This window comes from Homo sapiens, chromosome 13, assembly GCF_000001405.40.
Source record: "Homo sapiens chromosome 13, GRCh38.p14 Primary Assembly".
Lineage (NCBI taxonomy): Eukaryota > Metazoa > Chordata > Mammalia > Primates > Hominidae > Homo > Homo sapiens.
The window spans coordinates 48,455,776-48,468,051 of NC_000013.11; the positions used below are offsets into that span (position 1 = coordinate 48,455,776).

General features: G+C 41.2%; 1 protein-coding gene across 2 annotated transcripts in view; it reads left to right on the forward strand.

The window, feature by feature from the left end:
* RB1 (RB transcriptional corepressor 1) overlaps positions 1-12,276 on the forward strand; it is a 178,140-nt gene that overhangs the window by 152,025 nt on the left and 13,839 nt on the right. For both annotated transcript variants that reach the window (NM_001407165.1, NM_000321.3), the window contains exons 19-23: positions 429-574; positions 3,913-4,058; positions 7,956-8,060; positions 9,223-9,336; positions 9,430-9,593. In NM_001407165.1, the coding sequence (NP_001394094.1) occupies positions 429-574; positions 3,913-4,058; positions 7,956-8,060; positions 9,223-9,336; positions 9,430-9,593 (675 nt within the window). The remainder of the gene's footprint in view (positions 1-428; positions 575-3,912; positions 4,059-7,955; positions 8,061-9,222; positions 9,337-9,429; positions 9,594-12,276) is intronic.

Here is a 12,276-nt window from a genome sequence, read left to right on the forward strand (position 1 = left end):
TGTGTAAATCTGTGTGTATAACTGAAATCTTAGATATGAACCATAGTTATCGCTAAAAAAATTTTTAGAAGGAGAATCACAAAAACAAGATAACAGTATTTAATATCAATAAATTGTTTTTTAAGCTGGAATCACCTTATGGTCTCAATACCACTATAATTATTAAAATTGTACATTATACATATATAGCTATTTTTTTCTAATAAGGCAGTAATCCCCAGGAAAAGCCATTTATTAAAATAGAATTAGATATGATGATGACAAGCAGTTTTCCTATTAATATATCTTTCCCAGCTTGCATTTAAATAGTCTGCTATAATACCAATTAAATAGACAAGATGTATCTGGGTGTACAACCTTGAAGTGTATGTATAATCTGTGATTCTTAGCCAACTTGAAATGAAGACTTTTCCTTTAAATATATCTAGGTATCTTTCTCCTGTAAGATCTCCAAAGAAAAAAGGTTCAACTACGCGTGTAAATTCTACTGCAAATGCAGAGACACAAGCAACCTCAGCCTTCCAGACCCAGAAGCCATTGAAATCTACCTCTCTTTCACTGTTTTATAAAAAAGGTTAGTAGATGATTATTTTCAAGAGCATGGACTCTGAAACTAGGCTGACTGGGTTCAAATCATGTTTCTTCTACTTTCTAGGTACATTACTGGGCAAGTCACTTAATATCTCTGTGTCTCAGTTTCCTCATCTATAAAATGGAAATGATAATGTTGCGAGATCTTTCTTGACTATTCAGAGTCGTTTTTCTGGCCGGAAACCTCTGTGACCGGTGGCGCCCTTGATCAATTTTTGCTCAGGCCCACCGGGCTCATTTCAGCCCCTTGGTCTGACAGGCTGCACTCGGCTCACACTACCGGCCTGGGTCCATGCCAGCCAGGAGCAAGTCAGACATGGAACGGAGAGGGGTGTGTGGGCAAGCATGAGATCTGGCCATTGCCCACAGTCAGAAATGCTGGCTGCTGCAGCGGGGCGGGCAGCTCCAGGTGCTGGCACAGGTGCCAACTCTCTGTGAGGCTGCACCTGGACCAGACACACCACAAGCGGTTTCCACAGCTGGCACTGGGGAACAATAAAATGGCTCCCAGAAGCTTGGAGACGCCAGAAACCACAGGGCCCCAAAGAGGGAGTCACAGCCCTGGCTCAAGGAGCTCCCAATTCTGGGCTCCCCGAAGGGCCGCAGCTCTTCTCTCTTCTTTACCCACAACATGGCGAGCAAGGGGCATGTTTCAGCCCTGTTTGTGTTACAGCCCTTTCAGCCTCGCCATTTGGTGGGTCCTGAGTTCTTGTCCTGCAGCCAGGAAGAATGAGGTACACAGACAAGTGGAGGGTGAGCAAGATGAAGAGGAGATTTATTGAGCAATAGAACAGCTTAGAGAAGACCCATAGTGGGCAGCTCCTCTCTGTAACCACAAAGTCCCGATGAGTGTTCAGCTCCTAGCAGAGAAGGTAGCTCCTCTCTGCAGGCAGGTCGTCCCAACAAGTGTTCAGTTCTCAGCAGAAAGGGTAGCTCCTCTCTGCAGCTGCTCGTCCTGACAAGTGTTCAGCTATCAGTAGAGAGGGTAGTTCCTCTCTGCAGCTAGTTGTCTCTCCATCCTCTGCTCTGCTCTGGCTGAGACTCGGGCTTCTGTGGGCCTCAGCGGGAAGAAAGTGTGCACCGATTGGTACATGGGCGGCCACTAGTGGGCCCAGAAAAGGTACCACAAGTCCTCACTCCTGTCCGTGGGACTGGCAGCGCCCACCCCCAGCCTTCAGGCGCTCCCTGGCCTGAAGGTGGGGCCTCAACAGGGACTCATCCTCTACTGCTCAGGAGCCCATCTGCCTCCTGCCGCCATCCATGCGTCAAGGGGCACCTGTAGGCCAGTGCCAAGCTGCCCTCAGCCCCCGCCTCGGCTTCCCCCCCGTGCTCGTCAGCGCCCAAAGTCTGGAGAGGGCTGAGGCGGCAGGGGGCTGGCGTGTCAGCGCTGCCTTGAGCGTGCGCACATCTGGCTGGGCTGCAGCAGCACCCAGGCTCAGCCCTGACTTTGCTCCGAGATTGGAGTGGGCGCTGGCAGCAGGGAGAAACCAGGCAGTGGGAGCAGGCACTTCTGAGCCTGCGAGGGCGGTGGCAGTTGGGGGGTGCCTTCCCCGGCCCCCAAGTATACAGAGATGCCTGGGTCCACAGCCACGGTTTGGGTAGCTGCAGCTGCACTGGGGAGGGTGGGACTCCTACCTGCTCCCCAGCCCAGAGAGCACAGGGATGCCTGGGTCCGCAGCGGTGGCTTGGGCGGCTGCAGAAGCACTGGGGAGCTCCTGTCCCAACTCGGAAGGGGCGGGGTTCCTGCTTGTCCCCGGCTCCTCCGGGCTTCCTGGAGCGTGCCGCCCCATCCACGCCTCTCTGCTGCAGCAGGTGTGATGTACATACAAAAGTAGTGTGTTGTTGCCTACTGCAGACACATTTCCTGGATATTTTCAGGACATTTAAGAAGGCCAGTAACCAGGTCATGTAGCATTCTCTGAGTGTGTATATATGGTGGGGTGGGGAGGTTGATTTGAGTGTCTGTGCATGCGTATATACTTCCTAGTGCATATCCACTTGGAGCTCTTTGAAAGACAGTAAAAGGTCATGTTCCTCCATGATAATCTTTTTCCTGATTTTATTCAAGTAAGAATTATGCTGAGCTTTACAGGCATATTGTCAGATATTATCCTTAGGTTAGAGCAGTGGTTTTCAAAGTGTCGTTCCCAACCAGCAGAATCCACATCACCTGGAAATTGTAGAAATGAGAATTCTGGGGCTCCAGCCTAGACCTGCTCAATCAGAAACTCTTAAGATAGGGCCCTCAAAACCTTGTTTTAACAACCCTCCAGCTAAGTCTGATGTATGCTAAAGTTTAAGACCACTGAGATAAATTGTTAGCTTTAAAAATTTCAAATTACCTCATGCAAGTCGTTGAAAGAGATATATAAAAGGTCTTTATATGATATTTAAAGTAGATGAAGGAAAATTCAATTTTATGGATTCCTTTTTGCCAAATTTGCATTTTCAGTAGTATTTTTTATAAACTAAATAAATTACATATTGCAGTCATTTTACATATAGGTAATCTACAAGTTTACCATTTTTCAACAGAGTATGTTCCATTGGTATTTTATAGAGAAATGTGTGGTTTAATTTTTTTAGGATTGGAAAAATTCATAGACACTGGCAATTATATAATTTAAAAAAATGATTATTCCTCTTTAATATTGATAGTGGGAATGACCAGTGGTGAGTGATTATTAATAGAATTGAAACAAACCCTATTGGGTTTGTCTAATTTTACAGTGTCTTATGACCTTTCCTCCACTACTTCCCACCTCTGCCCCAATTTCATGCCATAATAGTTAATTCAGCAAGTATCATTCTGCCTTATATGTACCTAGAAATGTGCTAACACAAGGAATCAATTATTTTTAAGGAAAATAGTGGTAGAAAAATCTTAAACATCACCACTAAAGAACTTATTCATGTAACCAAACACCACCTGTTCCCCCAAACACCTATTTTTTAAAAAAACTCATGCCTACATAATGAAGCCTCCATAAAAACTCAAAAGGACCTGGTTCTGGGAGCTTCTGGATATTTGCCCAACTGGAGGTTCCTGGAGAATAGCATGCCTGGGGAGGGCAAGGAAAATCCATGCCCCTTCTCACATGCCTTGCCCTCTGCATTTCTTCATCTGTATCCCTTGTAATATGCCTCATAATAAACCAGTAAACATGTTTCTCTGGGGGAAAGAAAAGAGTGGTAGAAAAGAGGTTTCTGTTAAAATGCTACTTAACAGCATTATAATTAGAGCGATTTCATGATTTGAAAAAAATCTACTTGTAATTCAAAATGAACAGTAAAAATGACTAATTTTTCTTATTCCCACAGTGTATCGGCTAGCCTATCTCCGGCTAAATACACTTTGTGAACGCCTTCTGTCTGAGCACCCAGAATTAGAACATATCATCTGGACCCTTTTCCAGCACACCCTGCAGAATGAGTATGAACTCATGAGAGACAGGCATTTGGACCAAGTAAGAAAATCAAGCACTTCACCTTCTCTCCTCCCTACTTACTTGTTAACTGATTCTTTCTTTCTTTCTTTCTTTCTTTCTTTCTTTCTTTCTTTCTTTCTTTCTTTCTTTCTTTCTTTTTCTTTCTTTCTTTCTCTCTTTCTTTCTTTTTTTTGAGATAGAGTCTCACTCTGTTACCCAGGCTAGAGTGCAGTGGCGCAATCTCGGCTCACTGCAACCTCCGCCTCCCAGGTTCAAGTGATTCTCCTGCCTCAGCCTCCCAGGTAGCTAGGATTACAGGCGTGTACCACCACACCTTGTTAATTTTTGTATTTTAGTAGAGACAGGTTTTCACCATGTTGGCCAGGCTGGTCTCAAACTCCTGACCTCAGGTGATCCGTCTACCTAAGGCCTCCCAAAGTGTTGGGATTACAGGCATGAGCCACCGCACCCAGCCTTGTTAAGTGATTTCTAAAGAAAATATTAGATTCAAATGAGAAACTAGATCAATTTATTAGACTTAATATATGTTCACTTTTTGGCTACCATTTACATTTTTGTTGTAATTCTTACAAATTAGAGCTTTAACACTCAAGAGTATATTTTAGTAACTGCTTATTTAATGACACAAAAGATCTTACCTGTAAAAAAAATAGCTGAAGAACCTTCTTATCACTGGCTTTTTCTATGTAGTAGTGAGCTAGATATCATTTTAGTGTGAAAAAAGCATGAGACTTAAGAATCAGTTGATTTAAAACAATACCTATTGAATGAATGAATGAAGTCAATTAGTTTACAATGAGAGAATCATTTTTCATCTCCTCCTTTTTCTCTATAAAATAGGTTAATAAGAACAATATACTTTTGGCTGGGTGCAGTGGCTCACGCCTGTAATCCTAGCACTTTGGGAGGCTGAGGTGGGCAGATCGCTTGAGCTCAGGAGTTTGAGACCAGCCTGGGCAACCTGGCAAAACTCTGTCTCTACAAAAAATTTAAAAATTAGCCAGGTGTGGTGACTTGCACCTGTGGTCCCAGCTACTTCGGAGACTGAACTGGGAGGATTTCTTGAGCCCAGGAGGTGGAGGTTGCAAGTGAGCTGAGATCACACCACTGTGCTCCAACCTGGGTAACAGAGCAAGACCTTGTCTCAAAAAAATTTTGTTAATTAAAAAAATATATACATATATAGTTAATAGCTTTACTGAAATAATTCACACACCATAAAAACCACCCATTTAAAATGTACAATTCAGTGGTTTTTAGTATATTCACAGTTATACAAACATCACCATAATCAATTTTAGAATTTGTATCACACCAGAAAGAAACTCCATACCCTCAAGCAGTCACCCCCTATTCCCCTACCCCCTCAGCCCAAGGCAATACTAATCTATTTTCTCTCTATGGATTTGCCTCTTCTAGACATTTCATATACATGGAATTATATAATATGTGGTCTTTTGTGTATGGCTTCTTTCATTTAGCATAATGTTTTCAAGGTTCATCTGTATTGTAGCTTGTATCAGTACTTCATTCCTTTTCATTGCCAGACAATATTCCATTGTATGGATATACACCACATTATGCTTATCATTCATAAAGTGATAAACATTTGGGTTGTTTCCACTTTTTGGCTATTATGAATAATGTTACCGTGAACATTCATGAACATGTTTCATTTCTCCTAGGTACATACCTAGGAGTAGAATTGCTAGGTCATATGATAATTCTATGTTAACTTTTTGAGGAATGCCCAGATCATTTTCCAAAGTGGCTATACCATTTTACATGCCTACCAATAATGTATGAGGTTCTAATTTCTCTATATCCTCACCAACTTTTTTATCTTTTTTTTTTAATAATAGCCATCCTAGTGGGTATAAAATGGCATCTCAGTGTGGTTTGATTTGCATTTCTCTGATGGCTAGTGATGGTGAGCACCTTTTCATGTGTTTACTGGCCATGTGTATATCTTCTTTAGAGAAATGTCTATCAGACCGTTTGCCCATTTTATTTTTTATTTATTTTTTTTATTTTTGACACGGAGTCTTGCTCTGTCGCCCAGGCTAGAGTGCAGTGGCACGATCTCGGCTCACGGCAATCTTCGCCTTCTGGGTTCAAGCAATTCTTCTGCCTCAGCCTCCTGAGTAGCTGGGATTACAGGTGTGTGCCACCACACCTGGCTAATTTCTGTATTTTTAGTAGAGACGGGGTTTCATTATGTTGGTCAGGCTGGTCTCGAACTCCTGACCTTGTGTTCCACCCGCCTTGGCCTCCCAAAGTGCTGGGATTACAGGCATGAGCCACCATGCCCAGCCCATTTTGTTTTGAGACATGGTCTTACTCTGTCACCCAGGCTGGAGTGCAGTGACATGATCACAGCTCACTGCAGCCTCGAATTCCCGGGCTCAAGTGTTCCTCCCACTTCTGCCTCCTGAGTAGCTGGGACTATAGGCACACACCACCACGCCGAGCTAATTTTTGTATTTTTTTGTACAGATAGGGTTTTGCCGTGTTGCTCAGGCTGGTCTTGAATGGTTGAGCTCAAGTAAGCCACCCACCTTGGCCTCCCAAAGTGCTAGGATTACAGGCATGAGCCACCATGCCCAGACTGCTCATTTTTTAATAGAGTTATTTGTCTTGTTATTATTGAACTGTAAGGGGTCATTATGTAGTCTACATACAAGTCACTTATCACATATATAATTTGAAAATATTTTCTCCCATTCTGTGAGTTGTTTCACTTTCTTGTTAGTGTCCTTTGAAACACAAGTTTTTTATTTTGATGATGTCCAATTTATGTAGTTGTTTTCTTGTTATTGATGCTTTAGTGTCATATCTAAGAAACCAGTGCCAAATCTGAAGTTGTTAAGATTTATCCCTGTTTTCCTCCAAAATGTTTATAATTGTAGTTCTTACATTTAGGTTTTGCTCCATTTTGAGCTAATTTTTTAATATAGTTGAGGTAGGGGTCCAGCTTCATTCTTTTGTTTGTGGATAACTAGTTGTTCCAGCACCATTTTTTGAAGAGTTTTTTTCTCTCTTCATTGACAGTTGTCAAAAAATCAGTTGACTGTAAATATATAAGTATTTATTTCTGGACTCTCAATTCTGTTTCATATGAGATCTACATAAGCTATTCTTATGTCAGGACTACACTGTACACTTGGCTGTAGGATGCCAAGCAAAAATGATTATTTGGCATTCTTGGCAATAGTAGGTAAGAGCAAGAATGTTGCAGAAGCAATGAGTACTTAAATTAGGCTATAAAGTTCATACAAATAAAGAAAATCTGACATTTTAAAGTCACAGGGAATCATTTTCAGATCTTATTTTTGCATTTAAAATATCTTTTATTGAAATGTAATACACATATGTAAAAACCTGTGTATCAAAAGTATACATTCTAACAAAAATTCATCAACTGAGCTTAGTTATATAACCAGCATCCAGATCAAGAAACAAAACATTGTCAGCAACACATAAGACTCTCTTACATGCTCTTCCAGTCACCATAGCCTCCTTACCACCACCACCAAGTGTGTTCAATATTATTTTATCTAATAGTTTGAAACATTTTCACACCTGGCTTTTTAAAGTGCTAGTTATACAAAATTAACTGATTCTACTTTCAACTTTTCTGGGAAACATTTAAGGGACAAGAGCCAAAGTTAGGGTAATTTACAAACCAGGTGATCAGTCCTGAATAATTGAGCCTTGGTGATTTGCATTTTGTTCTTTAAACACACTTTGGGTTAAACACTTCATGTAGACTTTCAAACTGAGCTCAGTATGGAAAGAAATAACTCTGTAGATTAAACCTTTCTTTTTTGAGGCTAAAAGAAAGAAAATGGTATTTTTTAAGAACAAAACCATGTAATAAAATTCTGACTACTTTTACATCAATTTATTTACTAGATTATGATGTGTTCCATGTATGGCATATGCAAAGTGAAGAATATAGACCTTAAATTCAAAATCATTGTAACAGCATACAAGGATCTTCCTCATGCTGTTCAGGAGGTAGGTAATTTTCCATAGTAAGTTTTTTTGATAAATCCATATCCATAACATAACATAGGTAATTCATTTGATCTCATTTATTCATTAATGAGATCATATATTCTGTCTGACCTTATTATGTAAATTCACAAATAAAAACTTTTATATTATTTATTTGTAACTTAAATAGAATTGGAAAGATAAGGGTAATTATGAAATTACCCATATTCATAGTTTTTTATAAAGTTAATAAATAATATTTTATCCCTGTAATAAGCAGGTATTTGTAATAAACTTGACATGAGTCATAGAACATTAGATATTCTTTGAAGTTATTTTTATTACTTTATAGGAAAAGCCAGTATAAATGCAGCCTTGCAAATCAATAATACAAATGTTCAGTATAAACACATTTTGTGTTTCCGGTTTACCTTCCCTTTAGAGAAATAGTAGTAGTAAAATATACTTGGTATGACACATTTCATATTGTTCTGTGGAAAGTGAGTTGAGGGGTATTTTTCCCATTTATTATTGGAGTTTTCAAAAGTAATACAAACCAAGTCATTTTTGTTTGTATGTTTGAAGTTATTTTCTAAATTCAATCATTTTAATTGTATATATCAGAGGCATCTGATATAACCTCTGTGTTTTTCCCTAAAATTTGAGTGAAATCTAACTATCACTAAAATATAGTGCTTTTACTAAATGTCTACTTCTTGCAATTGCGTAATGTATACTGAAACCCTTATAGATTGGGGGGGATACCGGGAGGTACAGGCCAGAGAATGTAGTCCAAATATTGGTGGATAATATTATTGGCTTTCGCTCAGCTCTGGCCCTTTGATTCCCATCATGCTTTCCATTCTACCAGTCTATCTACTCCTCTCTTCCCAGTCTATATACTCTTCTCTTCTTGGATGGCCAGCTCTTCCATCTGCTGCTGCCTGGCTATTTCTCTCAATCATTCTGTGACATTTCACTTCTAGAAGAGCAGCTATAATCCAAGCCTAAGAAGTAATTTTATTTATTTATTATTTTTTCCTTTATAATATGTGCTTCTTACCAGTCAAAAAGTATTATAAACTATTAGAAAAGAAAATCTAAAGGTAGAAATTTTAAAATTCATTTAACAAGTAAATTTTACTTTTTTTTTTTTTTTTTTTTTTTTACTGTTCTTCCTCAGACATTCAAACGTGTTTTGATCAAAGAAGAGGAGTATGATTCTATTATAGTATTCTATAACTCGGTCTTCATGCAGAGACTGAAAACAAATATTTTGCAGTATGCTTCCACCAGGGTAGGTCAAAAGTATCCTTTGATTGGAAAAATCTAATGTAATGGGTCCACCAAAACATTAAATAAATAATCTACTTTTTTGTTTTTGCTCTAGCCCCCTACCTTGTCACCAATACCTCACATTCCTCGAAGCCCTTACAAGTTTCCTAGTTCACCCTTACGGATTCCTGGAGGGAACATCTATATTTCACCCCTGAAGAGTCCATATAAAATTTCAGAAGGTCTGCCAACACCAACAAAAATGACTCCAAGATCAAGGTGTGTGTTTTCTCTTTAGGGAAGTAGTAAAGAATGAGAGGGGGATTATTTTGATCCAAGAATAAAAAATATAAAGCATTCTTCATTTCAAATAAGCTAGACTCTTGAAACTCTATTTGCTTATTTAAGTAACATAATAAGAATATGGGGGCGGGGTGAAGAAAATCTATTTACGACTTAAGCAACGCAAGATGGCCGAATAGGAACAGCTCCGGTCTACAGCTCCCAGCGTGAGCGACGCAGAAGACGGGTGATTTCTGCATTTCCATCTGAGGTACCGGGTTCATCTCACTAGGGAGTGCCAGACAGTGGGCGCAGGCCAGTGTGTGTGCGCACCGTGTGCGAGCCGAAGCAGGGCGAGGCATTGCCTCACCTGGGAAGCGCAAGGGGTCAGGGAGTTCCCTTTCCGAGTCAAAGAAAGGGGTGACGGACGCACCTGGAAAATCGGGTCACTCCCACCCGAATATTGCACTTTTCAGACCGGCTTAAGAAACGGCGCACCACGAGACTATATCCCACACCTGGCTCAGAGGGTCCTACGCCCACGGAATCTCGCTGATTGCTAGCACAGCAGTCTGTGATCAAACTGCAAGGCGGCAGCGAGGCTGGGGGAGGGGCGCCTGCCATTGCCCAGGCTTGCTTAGGTAAACAAAGCAGCCGGGAAGCTCGAACTGGGTGGAGCCCACCACAGGTCAAGGAGGCCTGCCTGCCTTTGTAGGCTCCACCTCTGGGGGCAGGGCACAGACAAACAAAAAGACAGCAGTAACCTCTGCAGACTTAAGTGTCCCTGTCTGACAGCTTTGAAGAGAGCAGTGGTTCTCCCAGCACGCAGCTGGAGATCTGAGAACGGGCAGACTGCCTCCTCAAGTGGGTCCCTGACCCCTGACCCCCGAGCAGCCTAACTGGGAGGCACCCCCCAGCAGGGGCACACTGACACCTCACAAGGCAGGGTATTCCAACAGACCTGCAGCTGAGGGTCCTGTCTGTTAGAAGGAAAACTAACAACCAGAAAGGACATCTACACCGAAAACCCATCTGTACATCACCATCATCAAAGACCAAAAGTAGATAAAACCACAAAGATGGGGAAAAAACAGAACAGAAAAACTGGAAACTCTAAAACGCAGAGCGCCTCTCCTCCTCCAAAGGAACACAGTTCCTCACCAGCAACGGAACAAAGTTGGACGGAGAATGACTTTGACGAGCTGAGAGAAGAAGGTTTCAGACGATCAAATTACTCTGAGCTACGGGAGGACATTCAAACCAAAGGCAAAGAAGTTGAAAACTTTGAAAAAAATTTAGAAGAATATATAACTAGAATAACCAATACAGAGAAGTGCTTAAAGGAGCTGATGGAGCTGAAAACCAAGGCTCGAGAACTACGTGAAGAATGCAGAAGCCTCAGGAGCCAATGCGATCAACTGGAAGAAAGGGTATCAGCAATGGAAGATGAAATGAATGAAATGAAGTGAGAAGGGAAGTTTAGAGAAAAAAGAATAAAAAGAAATGAGCAAAGCCTCCAAGAAATATGGGACTATGTGAAAAGACCAAATCTACGTCTGATTGGTGTACCTGAAAGTGATGTGGAGAATGGAACCAAGTTGGAAAACACTCTGCAGGATATTATCCAGGAGAACTTCCCCAATCTAGCAAGGCAGGCCAACGTTCAGATTCAGGAAATACAGAGAACGCCACAAAGATACTCCTCGAGAAGAGCAACTCCAAGACACATAATTGTCAGATTCACCAAAGTTGAAATGAAGGAAAAAATGTTAAGGGCAGCCAGAGAGAAAGGTCGGGTTACCCTCAAAGGAAAGCCCATCAGACTAACAGCGGATCTCTCGGCAGAAACCTTACAAGCCAGAAGAGAGTGGGGGCCAATATTCAACATTCTTAAAGAAAAGAATTTTCAACCCAGAATTTCATATCCAGCCAAACTAAGCTTCATAAGTGAAGGAGAAATAAAATCCTTTACAGACAAGCAAATGCTGAGAGATTTTGTCACCACCAGGCCTGCCCTAAAAGAGCTCCTGAAGGAAGCGCTAAACATGGAAAGGAACAACCGGTACCAGCCGCTGCAAAATCATGCCAAAATGTAAAGACCATCGAGACTAGGAAGAAACTGCATCAACTAATGAGCAAAATCACCAGCTAACATCATAATGACAGGATCAAATTCACACATAACAATATTAACTTTAAATATAAATGGACTAAATTCTGCAATTAAAAGACACAGACTGGCAAGTTGGATAAAGAGTCAAGACCCATCAGTGTGCTGTATTCAGGAAACCCATCTCACGTGCAGAGACACACATAGGCTCAAAATAAAAGGATGGAGGAAGATCTACCAAGCCAATGGAAAACAAAAAAAGGCAGGGGTTGCAATCCTAGTCTCGGATAAAACAGACTTTAAACCAACAAAGATCAAAAGAGACAAAGAAGGCCATTACATAATGGTAAAGGGATCAATTCAACAAGAGGAGCTAACTATCCTAAATGTTTATGCACCCAATACAGGAGCACCCAGATTCATAAAGCAAGTCCTGAGTGACCTACAAAGAGACTTAGACTCCCACACATTAATAATGGGAGACTTTAACACCCCACTGTCAACATTAGACAGATCAACGAGACAGAAAGTCAACAAGGATACCCAGGAATTGAACTCAGCTCTGCACCA